The 23670-nt window shown below is 43.1% G+C and overlaps 1 protein-coding gene across 13 annotated transcripts in view, besides 9 other annotated features; it reads left to right on the top strand.

The window, feature by feature from the left end:
* Positions 478-978: an enhancer, noted in NCBI's record as "H3K4me1 hESC enhancer chr20:52214839-52215339 (GRCh37/hg19 assembly coordinates)". NCBI's record gives its function as "activates a minimal SCP1, AML or CMV promoter by ChIP-STARR-seq in naive H9 embryonic stem cells {active_cell/tissue: H9 hESC(naive)}" and the evidence as "EXISTENCE:reporter gene assay evidence [ECO:0000049][PMID:30033119]".
* The window catches only part of ZNF217 (zinc finger protein 217), a 30632-nt gene continuing 8537 nt past the window's right edge, over positions 1576-23670 (top strand). For 2 of the 13 annotated variants that reach the window (XM_011529036.2, XM_047440464.1), the window contains exons 1-4: positions 1576-1647; positions 16110-17817; positions 20828-20944; positions 21998-23551. In XM_011529036.2, the coding sequence (XP_011527338.1) occupies positions 16452-17817; positions 20828-20944; positions 21998-23551 (3037 nt within the window). In that variant the 5' untranslated portion in view covers positions 1576-1647; positions 16110-16451. Of the gene's footprint in view, positions 4498-4925; positions 5172-5438; positions 6717-10578; positions 12527-14183; positions 15512-16109; positions 17818-20827; positions 20945-21997; positions 23552-23670 lie in introns of those variants that run through there. The other 11 variants (NM_001385034.1, NM_006526.3, XM_024451997.2 and 8 more) reach the window with 9 other exon arrangements.
* Positions 2569-2618: an enhancer, noted in NCBI's record as "active region_18121". NCBI's record gives its function as "activates an Ori minimal core promoter by ATAC-STARR-seq in GM12878 lymphoblastoid cells {active_cell/tissue: GM12878}" and the evidence as "EXISTENCE:reporter gene assay evidence [ECO:0000049][PMID:35858748]".
* Positions 4419-5258: a silencer, noted in NCBI's record as "silent region_13051". NCBI's record gives its function as "represses an Ori minimal core promoter by ATAC-STARR-seq in GM12878 lymphoblastoid cells {active_cell/tissue: GM12878}" and the evidence as "EXISTENCE:reporter gene assay evidence [ECO:0000049][PMID:35858748]".
* Positions 5349-5428: a silencer, noted in NCBI's record as "silent region_13050". NCBI's record gives its function as "represses an Ori minimal core promoter by ATAC-STARR-seq in GM12878 lymphoblastoid cells {active_cell/tissue: GM12878}" and the evidence as "EXISTENCE:reporter gene assay evidence [ECO:0000049][PMID:35858748]".
* Positions 5919-6068: a silencer, noted in NCBI's record as "silent region_13049". NCBI's record gives its function as "represses an Ori minimal core promoter by ATAC-STARR-seq in GM12878 lymphoblastoid cells {active_cell/tissue: GM12878}" and the evidence as "EXISTENCE:reporter gene assay evidence [ECO:0000049][PMID:35858748]".
* Positions 6489-6728: a silencer, noted in NCBI's record as "silent region_13048". NCBI's record gives its function as "represses an Ori minimal core promoter by ATAC-STARR-seq in GM12878 lymphoblastoid cells {active_cell/tissue: GM12878}" and the evidence as "EXISTENCE:reporter gene assay evidence [ECO:0000049][PMID:35858748]".
* Positions 16647-17438: an enhancer, noted in NCBI's record as "H3K27ac-H3K4me1 hESC enhancer chr20:52198379-52199170 (GRCh37/hg19 assembly coordinates)". NCBI's record gives its function as "activates a minimal SCP1, AML or CMV promoter by ChIP-STARR-seq in naive H9 embryonic stem cells {active_cell/tissue: H9 hESC(naive)}" and the evidence as "EXISTENCE:reporter gene assay evidence [ECO:0000049][PMID:30033119]".
* Positions 17020-17089: an enhancer, noted in NCBI's record as "active region_18120". NCBI's record gives its function as "activates an Ori minimal core promoter by ATAC-STARR-seq in GM12878 lymphoblastoid cells {active_cell/tissue: GM12878}" and the evidence as "EXISTENCE:reporter gene assay evidence [ECO:0000049][PMID:35858748]".
* Positions 17120-17249: an enhancer, noted in NCBI's record as "active region_18119". NCBI's record gives its function as "activates an Ori minimal core promoter by ATAC-STARR-seq in GM12878 lymphoblastoid cells {active_cell/tissue: GM12878}" and the evidence as "EXISTENCE:reporter gene assay evidence [ECO:0000049][PMID:35858748]".

Here is a 23670-nt window from a genome sequence, read left to right as displayed (position 1 = left end):
TGCCAGGGCCCCCAAAACTCTAGGCTCACAAGCTTTGTAGTGTGTCTCATTTCATTCTCCAGAGTCTTGAAGAAATGTGACTATTACTTATATAAGTAACACAAACAATTATTATAATTGTCGTCTTCATCATCTTCATCATTCCCCTTTTATAGATAAGGAAACTGAAACCTGAGAGAGATTAAATAATATTCTAGGGTTATGCAGCTCTCCAGAGGTAGAATCTGAGTATCTGAGCCCAAGTTATTGGAGAGAAGATGTTCATGACCAGGACACTATGTCAGAGCCTCCCCCCTCCTCCCCCTCCCAGGGAACTAGGGGTTTTAAACCACTCTCAGAACAGAAGCCAAGTTCTTGAAGAGAATGAGAAAGGAGGTGCTAGGCAAGGGGAACCCCAGGGCTGAAGGCTCTAGGTCAGAGAGAAGGCTGGAGTTCAGATGCCTCAGTGAAGGGCTTGCCAGGACTTGAGGCTGGAGTTAGGCAGGGACCAGATCTGCAGAGCTGGTGGGGGAAGCTGTGGAGTTTTTTTTCCCTCAAGGCAATAGGAAGCCATTAAGGGGTGGTGAATTTATCTGATATCCGTGGTAAAAGTCTTTTTGGGTAAAAGTCTTGGATTATAGGTAGAGAAAGCATTAAGGGAAACCTAGAAAGGAAGAAGTTTGGAGAAACCTGCATATACAGTACTGTCTCTGTCTGGAGGAGAACACGTGATGGAGCTGACACCCTTTCTTCCCTTGCATTTGGGTCCCCATGCTCTCCTGCGGTCCCTCAGACCTCACTGCCTGCTCCCTCTCAGTCCCCTTTGCTCTCTTTCTCTTCTCCTTGACTTCCAGGCGCTGAACCACCCAAGGGCCCAATACTAGCACCTCTTTCGTGTGATTTTATCCAGTCTGATGGCTCAACATGCCATCAGTATTTGGAAAGCTCCTAAATACATAATTCTTACCGGGAACTCTCCCTTCCCAACACATTTCCAACAGCAGACTCCGCGTTCACGTGCATGGCACCTGCCAGTGGTACCTGGTGTAGGCTTTTGTTAGAGATAAAGATAAATGGACACAATTGAGACATATGAAGGTTTGCTGATGGATGCAAGGTCTGTGTAGGGTGGAGTAGATGGAGATGAAATATCCTGATTAGATTTTAAGATTCTGGCTTGAGATTATAATGATGATTGAATTTCAATTAATGTTAGTCACCCTCTTCTTCCCCTCCGTCCCTCATTCCAAAACTTCCTGTTTGGAATATCTAATGAAGGCAGAAAACTTTAAAGAGGCGTTCCCAGTGTTGTGTTTTGTGTGCAATTTTTAAGGGAGTTTTTACATTAACATTTTGAGTGAAGGTAATTTCAGAAAACTATCCAGAATATTAGAGGAGTCATGAGTTGTGTTTGCAGTGGGGGAGGGCACTCATCGAATAGGACAAATCCAGTTAAAAAATGCTGTCAACCTTATCAAGATTGACTAATCCAATCAAGTTGGGAGGGTACTGAAACCTTTATTTAAATTAAGTCTTATTCTTGACCCCTCCCTTTTTGCTGTGCTTATAAAAACCCGCAATCACATCTCTTCCAGTATTGTTTGGAGCCAGGTAGAGTGAAGTCCTACAGAGTTATCAGGTTCCAGACCCTGCCTTCTCTTCTGAAAGGTAAGTTCTGCTATATATATATATACATATATATAAATATATTTTTTTAATAGTATATTATTGTGATACTTTACAGAAGAGTGACTTGCATGGGATCAAGAAACTTAATAGAAAAGAGCAATGTGGTGCTCCTTCGAGCTGTTTGTTATTCCTACTTACTTGAGTGCATTTAGTCTTGTTCAAAGGGCTGTCCCTGTTTCCTTCTCAAATGTCCTTTGTAGTTTGCAGATGCTGGCAGGTTTGCCTAACTTTTTCATGTTCTTTTCCTGCTAACTCCTCACTGCAGTTTTTCAGGTTTTCCTGCTCTGAACACTGAATTCTTTTACGTCCCGTATCTATGTTGGCTCTGTTTCAGCTCCAGGGATTTACACACAGTTTCCAAATAGTTTTTCTATAATAGTTCCACAGTAAAATAACGTCTTGTGAAATAAGAAGATCCTACCTCATTCTGTTCTTCTAATTAAGGCTGAGTCTCAAAAGAGGATTCCAGTAAGTGTTAAATACAGCAAATCAGAAGTTTTTTTTTTTTTTTTCTTTTTTTTTTTTTGTTATGTTACTAGATCTGAGCATGCTGTGACTGGCAGGATCTGGATAGAAAATCAGATGTTGGCTAAACGAAGAGGCCTTATATCACTAGGATTAAATTAGAGATAATGGTGTGATTTTATAAGCGCATACTAGGAAATATGTCTTAAGGAGGGCCTGTTTGGATGATTGTGAAAAATGAGGTGTAGCTGATGTTTGCTGCATTGAAAGAAGGTGAAGTGGGGATTTTCTGCCCCTTCTCCAAGTACCATGTGCAGAGCTTCTCTTTTGGTTCCATTCTTTGTTTTTTTGCTGGCATCTAGTAGCACCTGACTCCTTTAGAGATGGCCTACGCAGGGAGTGATGGCGAAGCTGGATTTCTTGTGGGTGGAGCTAAGCATAGGAAGACCAACGTTCGATTTTCAATTTTCACTTTGTGCAGTATGAGTTCCTAGCTTTTATTACAAAACCAAATGCTTCCAGTGTTCTCCTGTTACTTTTGGAGTTTCCATATTTTAATTGTTTGAACTATACATGCTTTCCAAATAAATGGGAAGTATGAGTCTCACATTCTAAGGGAAGAATGTGTCTTAGGGAAAAGCCCTCCCAGGCGAATTCAGATCCCTCTATGTCCTTCTGAAAACACAGTATGTATTTGCAACCCAGCAGTCAGTCACTGGCAGAATTTTGCAACGATTTCCCAGTTTCGTTGGCACGACTCCAGGACAAGGTTCTTTGTAATTCTTTGCTCAAACATAAGGAGGATCACATATAAATAAAACTCTTAGCAGACAGATCAGTGAATTATAATCATCTTTCAGTTTTAAAAGCTACAACATAATAAGGCGCTCTCTTTTTTTTTTTTGAGAGAGGCGGCGAAACAGTAACAAATCATGATGCTATAATGTGAACAAAGTGGTAGCTTTGGAGGGCACAGGGGGAAAACAAGCACAACCGTTTTTGCTCAGAAAATAATTCAGTAGCAACAAGGTCTGAGAGCCAGGAATCTCCTTGTTCTTACTGAAACGATTATTTGTCAAAATATTTGATTGTTTCCCTATTCCCCCTGAAAAGTTTGGACTTTTCTTTTTGCTCGATTTTGACACTAGAATTTTTAACTATCAGTGCTATTGTGTTTACAGCATTCAAGGTCTCGGAGTTCAAAGGTTATCCATTAACATGTAGAATGAGGTTACACTTCAGGCTCAACCTGGTTCCACTTGGTCATAGTTTCTTTGTTGTGTAGCAAGGCTCATAGTCATTTGTTTTCATAAAGTTAAATGAAGTTTCTTGTTTATGAAGTGTTTTTGGACTGTGTTTTAGAATGTGACAATAAGTTTAAAAAATATATTTTAAAGATAGGTATTCATCCTTTGTCAGAAAAGGAATCCTAATACTAAAAGTGATCAATATCAGTGGACTTGAGTGAAAAAAAATTCACCCAATTTAGTTTTTTAGTGCTGGCCTAAGAATCTACTGGCACTGCTAATTAATTGTGAGTAATTGATTCGCTTCCTTTTTAAAAAAGACTAACCAGACCATATGTGGGGTTAGTAGTTATATATAAAATGACAGCAAAACATGACACTTGGCAAATTCTTCCCCTTTGCTGAGCTGTCTTCTCAAATTCCTTTTCCTATTTATTAAGATTGCATTGCTCACCAGCTCCGGATCGTTTCTGTAGTGCGTTCTTTCTTTTGATTTAGGAAATAGATATTTTAAATGCTTTTCTTGATGTGTTTTAAAGTTTTTTCATTTTGGATATGCTGAAGGCCGGTAAAAACACAAATATTTGGCTATTTTGTTAGTAGCGACTTGCATAGATCCATTTCACATTTGCATTAGTTTGCATTTTGGGGTAGAAAAATTGTGGATGTGCTTGTTATGTCTATGGTTCCTCGAAGCTTATTTAAAATGGGGAAATATCACAGGCCTTAGGAATCAGGATCTTTTTTTTGTCCTTTTTTTCAGTAAGGAAAGAAAACATTTGGGAAACGCTTTAAATGAGTTGTGCGTAGGGAGGAGGGGAAAGGGTAGCGGTTTTTTTTTTTTTTTTTTTGTCCCTTTTTTTGTCCCCGGTTTCCTCCAAATGGATTTCTATCAAAACCAAGTAGATTCTTGGAACCTAGGCTAAGTTTAGAAATCTCAAGTTAGAATAGCGCAAGCCCAGCCCTTTCAGAAAAAAAAAAATCACAACAATTAAATAGCTTTCTGAAGATACTCATTTAAAAACTGTTTATCTTCTCGACCTTCCTCAAGCTTGAAGAAAATCTTTGGTGTTTTTCGCGCACAGCTGCCTTCTAACCCGCGAGCAACGGCGTTAAGGTTTTTGTTTGTAATTCGGGGTGACCCAGGGGTTCGGGCCGCGGGCCCCTCCCCTCGCCCGCGCACACCTTGCAGAGGAGGGGGCGGCGGGGACAGGGCCGGATCTGCGCCTGCGCACACCCTCGCGGCCCCCTCCCTCCGGCCTCCCCGGGTACCTGTCACGGCTACCGCCGCGGCGCGCGCCCGCCACGTTAAGCCGGATGGCGGGAGGAGGGGTGCGGGGCGGGGGGCGCGGGGAGGGTGGCACGGCGCGCGCGTGCGCGGGAGTCGCCGAGCGAGAACTGGGAGTGCGCGCGCTCGCCGCTCGCTCCCGTCCCGGAGGCGGAGTCGGCGGCGGGGGGCGGAGCAGGGGCGCGCCTATGCTAGTCACGTGGGCGCTGGGGCGGGGCCGGGGCGGTGTGGGGCGTGGCCGGGCGGCCGGTGAAGGCAGGGGGCGGGGCGGCCGGTGAAGGCAGGGGGCGGGGCGTCTCCGAGCGGCGGGGCCGAGGGAGGGCGCAACAGCTGCTCCCTGAACACTTTCTGACCCAACAGTCCCCCAGCGCCGGACGCGCCGCGCCCCGGCGGCTCTAGGGACCCCCCGCGCCTGCACTGTCCCCGCGCGGACGAGTAGGGGGCGCCCGCGCCTTTGCCCCCGTGCGCACCCCCGCCCCGCTCACCTTAGCCCCGCGCCCGAGGTGAGCCCGGCCCCTATATTCTCCGGGCGGGGGTGGGGGTGGGGGACGCTCCTTTTTTGTTGGGGGGGGGTCTTGGAGGCGCGAAGGCACTAGGCTCCTCGGCGGATGGCTGCACCCCTCGCCCGCGGCTCCCCGTGTCTTTTGGGGGGCCGGGTGCGGGCGCGGAATCCGGGAGGTGTCCGCACAAAAGGCTGAGAGAAACTCCGCGACGCCTCCCTCCCTCCCTCCGCCCTCCCCGCCCCCTCCCCTCCGCGCCCGCTCCTCCTCATTCAAACCCGGCCGGCCCGAGTGGTGTCAGCTCAGTCCCGGCCGCCGCCGCGCGAGGAAATGGCCGAGGAGCCGGAGCCGCAGGTAAAGGGGGCGCGCCCCCCGCCCGCGCCAGCCGGGGCGCCCGCCCGGTCCTGCGGAGGCTCCCGCGCCGCCCCCGAGGCGCCCGGCTCTCGTTGTCTTGTCCCCCCCCAGGATGACCTCAGTTCCCCGTCTCAGCTTTCTATCCGCTCCTCTAGGGCGCCCCCTCCCCAGCCGGCTCCTGCGCTTCCGCCCGCGGGAAGGTGCGGGCGATCCCGGGCTGCATCCGCTCTTGGCCGTCACACTCACGCCGCACGATTCAGAGGGGCTTGGGGTGCGGGGTTCCCTGAATCTCCGCCGGGAGCGGGGGTCTGCGGGGGTGGGCGGTGGGGGGCTGTTCCGAAAAGTTGGGTCGCCCCGCGGGGCGGGTCTCCCAATTTGCCCAGTTGGCCCTTGGGGCGCGGGCGGAGGGGGAACGTCGGCGTAGGGTCCCCCCGCGATGCCCGGGGAAGGGCCGGGGCAAGTTGGAAGCGGCCAAAACAATGCGTCCGGACGGGCATCCCCCCGTAAACAATGGCCGGGACGGTCCACTCGGGCCGGGCGGAGGGCGCCTCTAAGGGACCGCGGGAGGGGCTGGGCCTCGCCGCGGACCCCGACGCGCGCCCCGTGACTCCCTCGGGTGCCCAAAAATCTGTCCCCGGGAGTCTTGGGGCGCCTGCTCATCCCTGAACAGGGATGCACGGGGCTGCGTTTCCTGGATGTGTGCGATAAGGTGGCTTTTTTTTTCCCTCCTCTAATTTTAAAGATTTTTTTAAGTCTTAATGTTCTATAAACACTTAAAGAATATCTTTACAACTCAATTCTAGTGGAACACCCAAAGCCAGCTGGAAGCAGAACTGGGAACTCTAAAGGGCAGGAAGGATTGAAATGCTAGCCCAAAAGTGCTGCTGCTTTTTTTTTTCTTTTCTTTTTTTTTTTTTTTAAGGGAAGTTTCTGCCAGGAGGTGCCGAGTGGTGAAACCGCTCAGTTTCAGGCACAGCCCTCTTGTCTCTCGATTTGGCCCCGACTGCGAGCCGGACGGGATGGTGGAGAGGCGGAGGGCGCTGCTGGGGGCCCGGGAGGCTGGATTTGGGGCTGCCTGGGCGGTCCCGCCCGAGGGGCAAGACCCGGCACGCGGGGCGCGCGCCGGAACCTGGGTCCCGGGAGTTTGAGAAGATGTTCAGGGCCCGGGTTGGAACCCACATTTTGGGATTCTGGGTAGGGCCACCGAAGACGGGAAGGCGCTTTCTTGGGCGGGTGGGGGTGGGGTGAGCAGGCAGGGAGTTTTCCGCCAGGTTTAGTTACAGGAGCTAGAAAAGGCCACTTCTGGGACCCTGGCATCTGGGCCGCCCTGAGAGCCCCAGAAACTTTTTTTTCTTTTTCTTTCCCCCCACCCCCCAGAAAAGGGTAGTCATTTCAGGTTTAAGGCTTTGGTGTATTGTTCTACCTCGAAATTCCTTGAGCCTCAGTTTATCTTCCTGAATCAGTCTATGGGGCTTGGAGCGTTGAACATTCCTAAACACGGAGAAAGTAAATGGCGGTTGCAGTGGTCCACTGGCCAGTTTGGGGGTCCTGTATTATTGGCCACTGTGTGTCCTACAGCGTAGCTAGGTTTTTCAGTTTTCTAGATCGTTTGGAAGCATTAAGCTGTATGTTTTAAGAAGCCTAGGTCTGATTTAGTTCAGGTTGATTCAATTATGTCTTCATTGCTTTTGAGTTGGTTGAATGACTTGACATGAGATTAAGCTCAACAAAAGAAAAGGCGAGGTAGCAACAGCTGCCGTCCAGGCCTGGCCACTAGGTAGGGGTCTTAGGAGGCCTTTTACCTTCTCTTTTGTATATGTCAAGAAGGAGATTTACAATGTTCTTATTTTACTGTACTTCTTTCCCCTGAAGTGGATGTTCTTTCTTGATTGATATCAAACAAGACTTAAAATGCTAAGTTTTATGATACTTAGACAACGAGTAATAGATGTAGTTTCTAAAAGCCTTGATGTGTCTGCAGTGACAAGTGCAGAGGAATAACCTCATTGCTTTTTGTCTGAAAATATAACAGGCAAGCCACTAGTTTGTGCTTACTTAATGTGTGCTAAGAACTTTTAAGGTGTGTCCTTAATGGTAGATAACTTTTTTCCTTCTGGGAAGTCATATTTATTTTAGATATTGTTTTGTTCAGGGTTCTGGAGACTAATAGTGTTTCGTTTTGTTTCTTAACCCTGATGTTGCTGCCATTTTTAATCGGTTATATTTAAATTCAAGAGGCAGTAAGTTATTTAAAATACAGTTGTCAGTAGTTCCAAGGCAGATTCATCATTTATTTTAATTGTTAGAATAGGATTAATAATCTGTTTGTTTGGAATTTTAATGATTTGGCGTGATGAGGAAAGCTAGTCCTTTAGAATTGTCTTTATTTGCCTACAGAAGGAGGAAGTAGAGGACAAGATATGACTTTTATTGGTGAAGGACACACACTTTTTTCTTTAGTGTCCCACTCTTTTAATCCTTTTGTCTTCACAACACTTTTCTAACGCTTTGCAGTTTGACCTTTGCTGTTTTTTAGTAACTTGTGAGATCGAAGTTTAGCAGTTGTGTTGGGTTCCTATTCCCTTTCACTTCTTACTCAAAAAAAGGAACTAATACACCACTTAGAAAAAATTTGTAGAAAACTTTTCTCCCCTTTACCCTGAGGAATCTATTTTGGTTAACAGGTCAAAATTTTTTTCCAGGTAGTAGGGGAGGAAGGAGGAGCAGTGAAGGTTTTGACTTTGACTGCCTTTACTTTTTTAAGGTGGGGGTAGATTTGCATTTTTCTTTGTGAGCCTCCATTTTTGGCAGGAAAACTTCAGGGAGGAGTAGGAGCCCCTAATCCCCTTCCAGTGGACTTGTTTTGGAGGAAATCTGAAAATAAGACTTAATCATCAAGTCACTTATAAACTGATGAAATAATTAAGGAATATAATGGCCTGGCAATGACTAAGTCCTTCTATCTCCTCATTGCAGATACATGCTAATCACTTTTTTCTCTCTTAACAACATTTATTATGAAATGGCATGTTTTTGCCACAGCAGGGTAGCCATTTCCCAACCCTGGAGCACTCTTAATTCTGAGATGCCTGATTAGAGCCTCAGGGGTCCCAAAAGATGTGCTGTTTTCCCACTTTATAAAATTACATTCTTTTCTCACAGTTGTCACAAACATGATATTGGTTGATAAGAACTTTGGAGTAGTTTTAATGACTCTTGACTGCCTGAAAGATGCCACTTTAAAAAAGGAGCTACTTTTAGCTGACTCTATTTGAAAGTAAATGATTGGACCCTTTTTATGTTTTATATGAAGCTTTGTTTCCATTTGCTTAAAAAAAAAATTCAAATTGTCCCATCTCCTGTATGCCCATATGGCCTGTATGTTATAGATTTTGAGGTTGCTGGGTATGATTTGTTTTAAATCGTTCCTTCCTAATTTCCCATTTCAGTTTAATCCCTGAGCGGAATGTTTAATGAATGAATTGGGAAGGTGAAGCTGAAGGACTGAGCAATGGCTGTTTTCAAGCCTTAGAATTAGAAAGTAGGAATGAAAAACATGAGACAGTTGCATAAACTGAGTATTCCACTAATAAAATAAATGTAATAAGATTTTAAATCCAGTTACTACAATTGAAATCTAAAAACAGAATAGTTTTTAGATTACTGGGATGTTAAAAAATAAAAACCTGAAAGGTATTTACAGAACAGCTACCAACATGGAATTAAAGGAATCTCAATCTTGTTAAATATTCTAAAGAGGGAAGGGTTTGGTTACAGCATGTAAATTAAACTTGAGACAATGGCGGGCGGGGGGGTCTTGATCCGCACACCTCTTCTCCAGATTCTGCGGGGGGGAGGGGTGTTAAAATTTAAACGCACATGGAAGAAAAAAAAAATGTATTACACAAAGACGGCAGGAAATTTCTTAAATTCGGGTGAAGGAAGCCTGATTATTGAATATCACTTAATGGCCTCATTTTAGAGGCAGTATAAAAACTTTTCTGAAATGCTCATGTTTTTGGAGTAAGGTGAACTGGGTTATTTTTCCCCAACCAGTAATAACAGACAAATTTGCAGTGGTATCTGGGGCAAAGGTTTTTGAATTTAGACCACGAGGAGAGATAGAAATCTGACTTTAAGGAAGTGGAAGAACAGGGACCATTCTTTCCTAAAATCTGCAGCTCACGATGACATGCTCAATTCTTGTACACATCTATCTTCCAGATAAATAGGGGGGAAGCCCCCGCTAGCCAGCTGCCGCCACATATTACCCTTTTATATTTAACGTTGGAATGCTTTCCATTTGAACATTTGTTGACTGACTGTTCTGAACATCTCCATTACTTCCTGTCCAGGGTATCAGCATAATTGAGTTACTGGAAATTTGGGGACAGTTTGGTAATTTTATGATAAAGTTGAGAAATAAAATTACTAAACCTGAAAAGACAGCTGAAGAAGTTGTATGAGAGAGTTAGTTGGATTCCTTACTTAGCCTTTGTTCTTATTAAGCTTTACAAAACTTGTTTCTGACCTCCACATGACTGTACTTCCTATAGAAAAGCTCCCCCAGACTCAGAAGCTAGGTTTTTAACAGACTCGTGTAGTGTTTCTGTATTGGTGTTCCATTATTTTCTGGTGTGTCTGGAAACCTTTGGAATTTAAAATGTAGTTAAGTGGACTGGAAATGTAGACTCTAGACATTTCTTGAATCAGCGTTAGGAGTAATAGTTACTTTTACTTCTACCTCTATCAAATAAGGATAACAAAGCATCTCAGTTATACTGAAGTGTTTTTGTTTCTTTTGTAATCAATATAGAGTTTTTCTTCAGTTTATAAATCTACTGAACAATGATTGTATTACTAATTGAAAGGAGACTTTTCCCCTTGATTTTGAAAGCAAACAGGTGACTGGAAAGAGCCAGATATACAACTTTAGTATGTAGTCAGCAAAAGATAGGATGGGGAGGGGAATATTTAAATCTTGCAGAAGAACGATCTTATGCCTTAAAAGGCATTGCCTAAGCTTGTATTTAACTAGGTTACTTGAATTGTGTTTAATTGAGAGCGCTCATTGGAAGAAGTGGTATGGTGTAGTGGTCTAGTAGTGGGCATAGTTGTGTGTGTGTGTGTATATATATATATATATATATATATATATATAGATAGATGTGTGTATACACACGTTCAGTGTTTTCATTACAGAGAGTTAGTGCAGGTAAAGATAGAACAGTTTATTAACAGTTAATTAATTTGCTGAAATCTTTTTTTTTTGGTGCAGTTAGGCCTGTCAAATTTTTACAGATATTTAAGGTTGTACTGGTTAAGTAGTAGTAATAGGAGAAACGGATAGCAATGCTTAATCTTGCTTAATTAAAGTTTTTAAAAATTCACTTTCCTTATATTATAACTTTTTTTCAGATCAGGATGTTTTTAAAAACCACTTTGCAGATGACAGTATCTGTTAATATTGAAACTAAAACTAGTATGTTATACTTTAAGTTCTTACTAAGATCCCTTAACTGACCTTAACTGATTTAAGATGAATTCAGGCAGTTTCTAGTTAATGACACTCAAATATGCTATATGATTATATTTTTATAGTACTTTGGTCTCTAATCCTATTTAAAATTGGTAATTTATGAACAATTTCAGCAAAATGAAATTATTTCCTTTACAAGCTTCCCAAGTTGAAGAGTTTAGGTTGTAACCTTAAACTTTGAATATTCCAATCTTTTTCTTTCGCTTAACTTGGAAGCATCTTTCCACAGCTAAATTAGGAAAGTTGGGTTGACCATTTAGCCTCATGGGTGTGACCCCTAGTAATTTCCTTGAAACAGTGTTGAAGAATTTAGAGCATTAAAAATAAAAAATAAAAAAACCTGTAGCTTTTTGATTGTTAGTAGATGGCTATGCAGAGTTTTCTCCACTTGTCAGATTAAGAAAAAATACTGTGCGTAAAAGACAGAGGAAAAACTTTCAGAGAAAATGTAAACTTCTAGCCAGGTCTTGGAGATAATTTTGTAGTTTTCAGGGTACAAATGCATTGGCCAGAGAATAGCAATTTAAGTTGAATTTTTTAATAACTCCTTATTTGGACACCTCAGTAACTTGGGAAAAAGTAGCTTTGTTAGCAGTATGACAAATTGTGTATAAATATAATTTTTCTGTGTTTTTGAGGACTTTGAATACCTTATTCAAAGCTGTATTATGGTAGATGCATATTCCATATCAACAATGTAAGATAACCTGTTAATCAGAAGAAACAGAGGCTGTGCTGTTTCTAAAAGTTAACAGTTTGAGTACATCAGGATGTAAAGAAAAATATTCCCAAGTTACAGTAATTGTCAGCAAAGTGGCTGTTGTACCTAGTTAGTTGTACTTAAGCACAGATTACTGTGCTTTTTATTAAGCAGTGTAGAATGTGTCCTATTTGCTGATTTCAAGATCTACAGGTAGTGGTAGAATTCATGGTAGCTTTAGTCACAAATCAGTGTGTAATTAGTGACCTAAAGAACATCACACTTCTATTCCAGCCTTTTCTAGCAATATGGTTCCTACTGGATTTCAAAGATTACGCTCTGGTAAATTTTAAAAGTATCTACTGAAATAATCCCAATAGAAGTTTCTTTCAAAATATGGCTATACTCAATAGCCCACTTGCCTTAGGTGTTAGGGGGTATATGAGTTAAGTTCTGTCGTTTACCTGAGTAAAGATTTTAAAATGTTTTTAAACATTGGAAAACATTTTTGTGAAGTACTTTTCAGTAAGCTTAGCGTGTTCATAACGCTCACTTTCTTGCAAGCTAGAAGCATTTAGATTATAGTGTTGGATTATAATATCCTGCTTTTCTCCTCCAGTTCTTTGTCAAGAAAGACAATTTACTTTATCAGCAGTGCCATCGGTTTACTGCTGCCTTCTGTGTGCAGGAGTGTGGAGAGCTGGAGGCTTCTGGGAAGGCTTGTGTTTGTGCACACACCCCATTCAATTGGAACGGTGATTTGCTGTTAGTAGATTAGAATTTCTATTTTGCTGTATTCTGTTATTAACGTCTTTATTGTTACAACCACTTTAACGATTACTGATGAGCAAATTGGTTTTAAGGGATGTAAACCTGGTTTAAAGTATTATTCATTGTCTTAGAGTTTAAGGAAGTGTTTTGTCTAGTGTGTTAGCAGTTTCTAAGTCAAGAGCTGAAGGCATTTGCTGTCAGAGATAGCCCTAGGATGCCCAGCATTTTTGTTTTGGAGGGTCATAAGGAGAGTGAGTATAAATCCAAATAGTGCAGTTTTTTTTTTGCTTGTGCTGATCAACTTTATGGTGTGATTAAATACGATTTTTTTTATTACGCTCTTGAAATTGTACTCTTGAAGTTGCAGAATGGCAATTAGATGGCAGTCGCTGATAGCCATGTAGAAGTTTTGATGAACATGCAAGTTAATTTTAATTTCTGATCAGTTACGGTTAGTGACTGTGGCCAAACGTGTGTACTGATTCTACACGTGTGCTAATTCCGTGACATTTATTCACCAGCTATGTGTCGAGTGCCTAATCCTGTGTCAGGCACCTTGTTCCAGGCATTGGGGGCAGCAGTGGACAAGGCAACAGTCTCCATCCTGAGGTGTTACTTTTAGAAAAAGACAGTTACAAGCAAACAAACAGGATGGTTTTAGATCTGGACAGAGGTTTTCAGAGGAAGTCATCCTTGAGCTGTCACAATACTTTGGGGGGGTAGGGTGTGCTGGGTAGTCAGGGATGGCACATTTGGGGTGCCTAAGGATTGCTGTGGCCCTGGGAGCCTAGGACAGTTGGTCACAATTGACTATTAGAGTCAGTCTCAGAAGCTTTCCTGGAGAAAGAATTCTGCTGTTTTGCCAGGAGGGTTTCCTTCCCCATCTGACCACACAAGAAGACCCCTTGGCCTAGAATGCCTGCCCTCATCTCCAGGTCTCCCAGGCTGTTCACCCTCCCAGGCAAAGTGGAAGCTTCCTCTGTCCTAAGATCGTTTCCCACTGAACCTCCTTCATTGTCCTTCACCGCAGTGAAATAATCCTACAAGGTCTTGTGTGGAGAGTGATGGTAACTTCTTTAACCCAGATAATTGAGAATTGGAACCAAAACATCTTTCTATTAATAAATATTTTCAGTAACTAAGTTATGCTGTTTCCCTGAGTGGGAAATAACACTCCATCATATTTCTTATTTTTTTGGGCGGAGAGGGGAGACTTGCTCTGTTGCCCAGGCTGGACCAGTGGTGCGATCTTGGCTCACTGCAACCTCCACCTCCTGGGTTCAAGTGATTCCCAAATAGCTGGGATTACAGGTGTGTATTACCATGCCCAGCTAATTTTTGTATTTTTAGCAGATAAGGGGTTTCACCATGTTGGCCAGGCTGGTCTCCAACTCCTGGCCTCATGTGATCCACCCACTTCGGCTTCCCAAAGCATTGGGAGTATAGGTGTGAGCCACTATACCCGTCCTCACATCATATTTCTAATCCCGAGACTGTAGAGCTGGTGTCTCTTTTTCTAAAGGATGTCAGTAGAGAAGTGGAGTTCCCCAAAATTACAGTTTCACGTATTAGTCAAGTTTCTAAAATACAGTAATAATGTTGAGAGCTGACATAGGGACTAACTTAGTTTTTTTTTTTTTTTTTTTTTTTCAAATTCTCACTGAACTTTGATTTTGCTAAATAAGGACATTAAAAAAAAAACCAAAAAACTCCACTATTGCCTATTGCCACTATTTGATTTTTTAAAAAATAAGCGTATTTTAGCATCTAAAAGTAGGAAGGACCTCAAATAAATGAGTCTTTGTTCTTGGCCAGGGAAAACAGCGTTGTCAGAATTTGATAACTGTTTTTCTAGGGTATGTGCTGTTATTCAGTTAAAACCTTGCCTGGGACGCTAGCATTCAGTAAATACTTGTTGAATAAGCAAATGAAACTTAAGCTTCTATGTATAGAAACCTAAGTCACTTCACATTCTGATTAGCAGAGTAATTGAATATTCTTTTCAATGTGTAGCTCTATCCCCAGAACCACAGAATATTGGAACTGTAAAGGCCATCCTATAGTTTAACCAACTGCGTTAAATAGATAATAGAAAGATGTGGTATGTGGCAGTGACAACTTGAAGGTTGTGACTAGAACTCGGGTCTCTGGAGTGTTCTATTATATCACACCAAGCTGGTCACCAGCCCATGTGTTGATCCTCCATTGTGATAGCAACAAAGAAAAGACTTCAGGACATTCTTTCCTTTACCCTAATCCTTGATCTGCAGTCTTATTTAGAAAAGCTTAATGTTAAAGATCTAGTTTATTCAAAACTAAAGATAACAAGGAGTATGAGAATTTCTATTTCGGAGTGTAAAGGAGGAGATGTTTCCTTGGCTTCTCTGAGCCTGCAGGCCTTCCTTGCTCTTTAAGGAAGTAGAGAGAGGGAGGAAAGTAAAGTATGCTTTTGTTTTTTAAGGTTACTTTGCTGGGAGTAGTTTGCATGCCTTTTGGTTTTCTTGGGTGGAATTAACTGACTTAAGTTTTAAGTAGTTGGGACTATTTAAAAACAATGCCTATCCAATGTTTGCCATAAAGGCAGAGGGTATTGGCTTTAGAAGTTAATTCTTCTCCAGGAGTGAAAATTAGCTTCTAAACCAGAAGCAGCAGAGCTAAATAAAGTAATTTTCCACCTGGCCAGTGCATGATGTGAAAGGTAGATTAAAAAAATGAGAGGGCCCATTTTCTGATGAAAGACTAAGCCATGTTGAAACAGCCCTGTTGAGGATTTTATTTTAAATCTATACATTCACAAAGGAGCTTTGTGTATGTCTTTCCCTATTTGTTGTTTGGACTAGGAAGCCCCACCCAGTGCTTGTTGAAGGCAGAAAGTCGTTGAAAGCAAGCTGGGATTTGAACAGTGGATTGAGGTTTCGAATATCCAGTGAACCAAAATATATCAGGGTTCCCCTGGCCAAGATGAGTGACCATTCTGAGGTGTTAAGTATTTCTTGAATGGGGATTTTAGGAAAAGTTTCTGTATTTCTGTGCTCATTTTGTTGACCTCTGTATGTGCAAAATCTCTAAGGGGGTGTTTGGGCACTTAGATTTCTTGGATGCAGATTTGTTTGTATATGAAACAAATTTTAAATTGTTTTGTATACACTGGATTTAAAATAGTTTACTAAAGTGTTTTAATTTTTTCATCTTAATTTTCACAGTTCTTATAGTCTTTAGATTTAGGGAGGCTGTTGATGGCATCCACATGTGCATTTTAGTGGCATTTAAAATGTATTCAGCTGAATTTAACAATTTCTGACCTAAAACTTGACATTTTAGATTTAAGTCGGTAAAGCACTGATTTAAACTGGATTTTAACTGGATGAAATTCTGATTTAATAAGTGTACTGACTGGATAAAATGCCAATGATTTAATTAACAAGCACGTTTAACAGGATGCCCTATATATTAGTTAAAAGTGAAGCAATTGAATTAGGTACCTTCTCTGCTGCGTGGAAAAGACCGTATGACTCACCCACACCAGCCTTCTCTTCGCTCTGAGTGTAGCTAACCGTTTCTGTTTTTTTTCCTCTAGGGTTTGGAAATCCCTTGTCTCCAGGTTGCTGGGATTGACTTCTTGCTCAATTGAAACACTCATTCAATGGAGACAAAGAGAACTAATGCTTTGTGCTGATTCATATTTGAATCGAGGCATTGGGAACCCTGTATGCCTTGTTTGTGGAAAGAACCAGTGACACCATCACTGAGCTTCCTAAAAGTTCGAAGAAGTTAGAGGACTATACACTTTCTTTTGAACTTTTATAATAAATATTTGCTCTGGTTTTTGGAACCCAGGGCTGTTAGAGGGGTGAGTGACAAGTCTTACAAGTGGCCTTATTCCAACTCCAGAAATTGCCCAACGGAACTTTGAGATTATATGCAATCGAAAGTGACAGGAAACATGCCAACTCAATCCCTCTTAATGTACATGGATGGGCCAGAAGTGATTGGCAGCTCTCTTGGCAGTCCGATGGAGATGGAGGATGCCTTGTCAATGAAAGGGACCGCTGTTGTTCCATTCCGAGCTACACAAGAAAAAAATGTCATCCAAATCGAGGGGTATATGCCCTTGGATTGCATGTTCTGCAGCCAGACCTTCACACATTCAGAAGACCTTAATAAACATGTCTTAATGCAACACCGGCCTACCCTCTGTGAACCAGCAGTTCTTCGGGTTGAAGCAGAGTATCTCAGTCCGCTTGATAAAAGTCAAGTGCGAACAGAACCTCCCAAGGAAAAGAATTGCAAGGAAAATGAATTTAGCTGTGAGGTATGTGGGCAGACATTTAGAGTCGCTTTTGATGTTGAGATCCACATGAGAACACACAAAGATTCTTTCACTTACGGGTGTAACATGTGCGGAAGAAGATTCAAGGAGCCTTGGTTTCTTAAAAATCACATGCGGACACATAATGGCAAATCGGGGGCCAGAAGCAAACTGCAGCAAGGCTTGGAGAGTAGTCCAGCAACGATCAACGAGGTCGTCCAGGTGCACGCGGCCGAGAGCATCTCCTCTCCTTACAAAATCTGCATGGTTTGTGGCTTCCTATTTCCAAATAAAGAAAGTCTAATTGAGCACCGCAAGGTGCACACCAAAAAAACTGCTTTCGGTACCAGCAGCGCGCAGACAGACTCTCCACAAGGAGGAATGCCGTCCTCGAGGGAGGACTTCCTGCAGTTGTTCAACTTGAGACCAAAATCTCACCCTGAAACGGGGAAGAAGCCTGTCAGATGCATCCCTCAGCTCGATCCGTTCACCACCTTCCAGGCTTGGCAGCTGGCTACCAAAGGAAAAGTTGCCATTTGCCAAGAAGTGAAGGAATCGGGGCAAGAAGGGAGCACCGACAACGACGATTCGAGTTCCGAGAAGGAGCTTGGAGAAACAAATAAGGGCAGTTGTGCAGGCCTCTCGCAAGAGAAAGAGAAGTGCAAACACTCCCACGGCGAAGCGCCCTCCGTGGACGCGGATCCCAAGTTACCCAGTAGCAAGGAGAAGCCCACTCACTGCTCCGAGTGCGGCAAAGCTTTCAGAACCTACCACCAGCTGGTCTTGCACTCCAGGGTCCACAAGAAGGACCGGAGGGCCGGCGCGGAGTCGCCCACCATGTCTGTGGACGGGAGGCAGCCGGGGACGTGTTCTCCTGACCTCGCCGCCCCTCTGGATGAAAATGGAGCCGTGGATCGAGGGGAAGGTGGTTCTGAAGACGGATCTGAGGATGGGCTTCCCGAAGGAATCCATCTGGGTAAGCTGCCCTGTCTCCGTCCCGTGCTGTTCCGCCTGTGTCTGTCTGTCTCCCCGTCTCCCCCTCTCTATTCCCATCTCCAGACAACGCTGGCCAGGAATGGGGTTTGGAGAGCCAGAGTCAAGTCCAGGCTCTTTTTGGTATCACTCTGTGTAAGTCATTTAACCTCTCAGGGCCTTAATTTTCTCATTTCTGTAATAACAGGGTTGAGTTAAGAGGTCTCCTTGTTCTGAAAATATATATATATTTTTTAAACGTGTATCGTTTTGCTCACAAAACACACTTTAAAAAAAAAATAACTTGTGCATCCAGCCCAAATGCACTGCTTCTTAACTGGGGCGATTTTGTTCCCAATCAGTATCTGGCAATGTCTGGAGGCATTTTGGTTGTCATACTGTGTGTGTGGGTGTGCCTGCTGGCATCCAGTGGGCAGAGGCCAGGGACACTGCTCAGCATGGTACAGTGCACAGGACAGCCCCATCATCAAAGAATTATCTGGTCCCAAATGTCAATAGTTTGAGCATTGAGAGACCCTAGCCTTCACTTAAGTTTTTCTGGCGTTCCTGATCTTTTTCTGTAGTGAATTTCTAGTGGCCATAAAAGGTACTGGGAGTGATGATCAACTAGAGCCAGGAATATTATTTGGGCAGCCGTTTGGTGCTGTCCAAAACCTTGTCCTTTCTGTCTGGCAAGCTAGTATCCATTTATAGGTACCTCAGGAACCCAAATGATTTGTCATAAAATACAAGGAATGTGAGCACACTGAAGACATTTTTAAGAAGGCTCATTTGCTCAGCAGAATTTTCAGTGTACTAGTGGCATTTATAGAAAGAGAAGGTGATCACTGAAGGCATGCTCACATAATATTCCTGAGCCCTGGTGGGCGTTATCTAGGGCAAAGGATTCCACCTGTGTTTGGAGTTGCGCCCATCCTCACTGTAGCCAGAGCTTCTCCTATCAGAGTTTAGTATTTTGTTTGAATAGAGGATCTTGCTGCTTAAAACAGTTGAAAAGACCCTGATGGGCAGGCCGTAATTGACAAGCGAATGATGGGAACATGAATCGGTCTTAGGGAAGCATCTGTCAAAGTGGTCCTCGGTTAAAACAAGTGCCTCCTCCTCTCAGTGTCACTTGATTGTGTGCTTGAATTCTTCGGAAAACTGGGTGTATGAGACCCACGATGAATTTGCCCACACGATTGATTGGACTCTTCCTTCACCTGCTCTTCAGCCAGTGCCAGTTCCTTTTCTGATCATGTGATTGACGTGAGAACTGTAGTCTGTATATCAAATCTTTAGAATGTTTTTGAGTTTCCTGGGACACAGGAAACCCAGCACTTAGCATACTACAAATCTAATGTCTTAATGGCATCATAAAAAGAGGCTTTAAACACAGACTCCAGTTAGCTAAGTGGTTTCTGCTAGTGCCGGTACTGTTGCAGGGGCCCTGTGAGATGCCCCAGTTCCCTGAAAGAAATGAAAAGGCCAGTTACCGGTAGGTGGTGTGGAAAACATGGGCTAGATCATCAGGCAGGACAGAATGCCTGGCTGTGGGTGGGAGCACCCCAGCTTGGCGTTGAGTTCTGGTTCTACCACTGCGTTGTTTTGTGACCAATTATGAGTTGCTTAACCTTTCTTTGCTACTATTTCCCTGTTTGCAAAATGGTTCATTGACCCCTGTCTTCCACCTCCCAAGGACAATTTCAACAGCCTATTTGTAAAAAGATCACAGTCCTTTAAAAAATATAACTGTAAAGTCAGAGGTGATGCTTGAAAGAGCAGGAACCAGGTAGATGTGGAAATGTCATGTCCTTTGTTCTAAAGAAAAGGCATTTCATAGCTTTTTGGATATGACGCAACATACCATAAATCCTGACACATAGTTGGGAGTCGGAAATTGCAACAACGCCCAGTTATAAACCCAGCTAGTTTGGGTATGATTGTAAGAAAAAAAAGCTGGCCATTCTGTATTTGGGGAATTGATTTTCCTAAACTTATATTATCTTAGTAGTCTAGATTTATCATATTGTACTATCATCCTGGCTTTTTTAAGACTTAAGAAGATCAAGTAAATTTTTTTTTCTTTCTTTAGACACTATATAGATCATCAAGGGTGTCTGTCTTACAGGTGGATAGTGATATGATCTACAGTGAGGGGACATTTATTTAAAACTTAAACATTCATGTGTTTTGGGGGTGGTATTTTAACGGCAGCACCTCTGATTGTCTTTTGGAGGGCTGGTGTGTGTTTGAAGTTCTGTCCTCCTTCCAGTGGACTCTAACTTCTCCTGATGCACGTGAGACACATTGTCCTATTGTCCTGCAGAAACTAAAGCCAAACACTGTCATTTGGGGACAGGTTTTCATTTGTCAGATCTCTTTCGCCCACATGAGTGTTTGTGGACAATACAGCCTGCTTTCCAAAACTTTGCTAAATTTTGACAGACTTTCCTAGGTGCTTGCCCAATGCCAGACTTTCTTTTCTGTTGAAGATTAAGTTGTGCTTGCTGCCCTCTAGTGGTCAGTTGTTTAATCCTAACCTTAAACGGCTTATTTTTCCCCTGGTGGTTGGGAAGTTGACGGTTTGTAATTGGCTCATTTTTCTAAATTATTCTGAAGAAGATAATTTTTCCCGCCAGTATGTATGTCCACCTTCAGTTTGCCAGATCCTGCCTGCTCAGAGACACTGAGAACCGGAAGCTGCCCGGGCAATTCAGTCTATGAAATGATCTTTCTTGTGATTAAGGCAAACGAAGAACTGAATGTTTAATAGTGTACTCTGCTGTACCCAGAAAAAAACAAAACAAAATCATGTTATAACACTCTAAAACTTCAAACAACCTCCAACAGCATTTGGTGTGTGTCTAGCCGTTTTGTTCTAACCCGATGTTATATAAAAGAATTTTTTCATGCTTTCCAAAAATGTTTATGTCAAGAATATTTAAGTCAGCATGCCTTATTCAGGTACTTCAGCTACCTTCTTATATAAATATTTTTGTTTTTCCTTTAAGATAAAAATGATGATGGAGGAAAAATAAAACATCTTACATCTTCAAGAGAGTGTAGTTATTGTGGAAAGTTTTTCCGTTCAAATTATTACCTCAATATTCATCTCAGAACGCATACAGGTAAAGAACTTTTATTTTTTTAACCATGCATTAGTTAAATTATGTAGTTATCTAATTTTTTTGTTGTTGTTGTTCAGATACTCTGCCAGATCCTTGGACTAGCTTAAGGATAAATATGTAGCATGTTGATTGCAGTGGTTATTTTTATTCTTTTAGTGCCATTGTAACTTGAGCCATTGTTCTTATTTGCAGTTCATTTCTTTTCTTTCTTTTTTGTTTTTTGAGACGGAGTCTTGCTCTGTCACCTCGGCTGGAGTGCAGTGGTGCAATTTCGGCTCACTGCAGCCTCCACCTCCCTGGTTCAAGCAATACTCCTGCCTCAGCCTCCCCAGTAGTTGGGATTACAGGTACCTGCCACCACACCCGGCTAATTTCTGTATTTTTAGTAGAGATGGGGTTTCACCATGCTGGCCAGGCTGGTTTCGAACTCCTGACCTCAAGTGATCCGCTCACCTTGGCCTCCCATAGTGTTGGCCTCCCATAGTGCTGGGATTACAGGCGTGAGCCACCGCGCCCGGACAAAGTTCATTTGTTTAGTTTATGACTGCTATGTCCTGACTCTTATCTTATTAAAAGCTACAGTATTTTAAAATGCTGCATCTTATGTCTTTATGATTGAGAATGAAATGAGAATCTATTTAGTAGTCTTGAGATTGTGAAAGGAGCTATGACATCATGATGTAGGAGGCTGCGTAGATTTGAAATTTCATCTCTTCCACTTACTATCTGTGCACCCTTGGGCAAGTTATTTAACCTTTTTGTGCTTTTAGTTTTCTTTGCTGTAAAAGTAGAATAATACATATTTCCCTAGGGCTGTTAGGAAGATTAAATAAGTTAGAAGTGTTGCTGTTAATTTTTCTATTGAAGATAGGCATTCATAATTTCAAATATTCATTACAGTAAGGATGATAAAGAACTGATGAGAAATCCTATGTGATAGTAGATCGAGAAAGCAAAAGGAGGAAAGAAGCCTGTTTTCTTAATAAATAGATATTTGATCTATTTCAGTGCTTTTCATACACTTCTATAATAAAGTGCCATTTCTTGCCTTAGGTGAAAAACCATACAAATGTGAATTTTGTGAATATGCTGCAGCCCAGAAGACATCTCTGAGGTATCACTTGGAGAGACATCACAAGGAAAAACAAACCGATGTTGCTGCTGAAGTCAAGAACGATGGTAAAAATCAGGACACTGAAGATGCACTATTAACCGCTGACAGTGCGCAAACCAAAAATTTGAAAAGATTTTTTGATGGTGCCAAAGATGTTACAGGCAGTCCACCTGCAAAGCAGCTTAAGGAGATGCCTTCTGTTTTTCAGAATGTTCTGGGCAGCGCTGTCCTCTCACCAGCACACAAAGATACTCAGGATTTCCATAAAAATGCAGCTGATGACAGTGCTGATAAAGTGAATAAAAACCCTACCCCTGCTTACCTGGACCTGTTAAAAAAGAGATCAGCAGTTGAAACTCAGGCAAATAACCTCATCTGTAGAACCAAGGCGGATGTTACTCCTCCTCCGGATGGCAGTACCACCCATAACCTTGAAGTTAGCCCCAAAGAGAAGCAAACGGAGACCGCAGCTGACTGCAGATACAGGCCAAGTGTGGATTGTCACGAAAAACCTTTAAATTTATCCGTGGGGGCTCTTCACAATTGCCCGGCAATTTCTTTGAGTAAAAGTTTGATTCCAAGTATCACCTGTCCATTTTGTACCTTCAAGACATTTTATCCAGAAGTTTTAATGATGCACCAGAGACTGGAGCATAAATACAATCCTGACGTTCATAAAAACTGTCGAAACAAGTCCTTGCTTAGAAGTCGACGTACCGGATGCCCGCCAGCGTTGCTGGGAAAAGATGTGCCTCCCCTCTCTAGTTTCTGTAAACCCAAGCCCAAGTCTGCTTTCCCGGCGCAGTCCAAATCCCTGCCATCTGCGAAGGGGAAGCAGAGCCCTCCTGGGCCAGGCAAGGCCCCTCTGACTTCAGGGATAGACTCTAGCACTTTAGCCCCAAGTAACCTGAAGTCCCACAGACCACAGCAGAATGTGGGGGTCCAAGGGGCCGCCACCAGGCAACAGCAATCTGAGATGTTTCCTAAAACCAGTGTTTCCCCTGCACCGGATAAGACAAAAAGACCCGAGACAAAATTGAAACCTCTTCCAGTAGCTCCTTCTCAGCCCACCCTCGGCAGCAGTAACATCAATGGTTCCATCGACTACCCCGCCAAGAACGACAGCCCGTGGGCACCTCCGGGAAGAGACTATTTCTGTAATCGGAGTGCCAGCAATACTGCAGCAGAATTTGGTGAGCCCCTTCCAAAAAGACTGAAGTCCAGCGTGGTTGCCCTTGACGTTGACCAGCCCGGGGCCAATTACAGAAGAGGCTATGACCTTCCCAAGTACCATATGGTCAGAGGCATCACATCACTGTTACCGCAGGACTGTGTGTATCCGTCGCAGGCGCTGCCTCCCAAACCAAGGTTCCTGAGCTCCAGCGAGGTCGATTCTCCAAATGTGCTGACTGTTCAGAAGCCCTATGGTGGCTCCGGGCCACTTTACACTTGTGTGCCTGCTGGTAGTCCAGCATCCAGCTCGACGTTAGAAGGTATTGCATGAGGGGCGTCGTGTTTAAATGGCTGCCTACAGTGATTAATAGCTAATCCAGGCATTCTCAGTGGAGATGGTACCACTCCCAAGGGTGGGGGGTAGGCAGCCAGAAGTTCT

Source organism: Homo sapiens, chromosome 20 (assembly GCF_000001405.40).
Source record: "Homo sapiens chromosome 20, GRCh38.p14 Primary Assembly".
In the NCBI taxonomy this organism is placed as follows: Eukaryota; Metazoa; Chordata; class Mammalia; order Primates; family Hominidae; genus Homo; species Homo sapiens.
The sequence above is the reverse complement of the archived record's forward strand: the minus strand, read 5'-3'. Positions and strand labels throughout refer to the sequence as shown.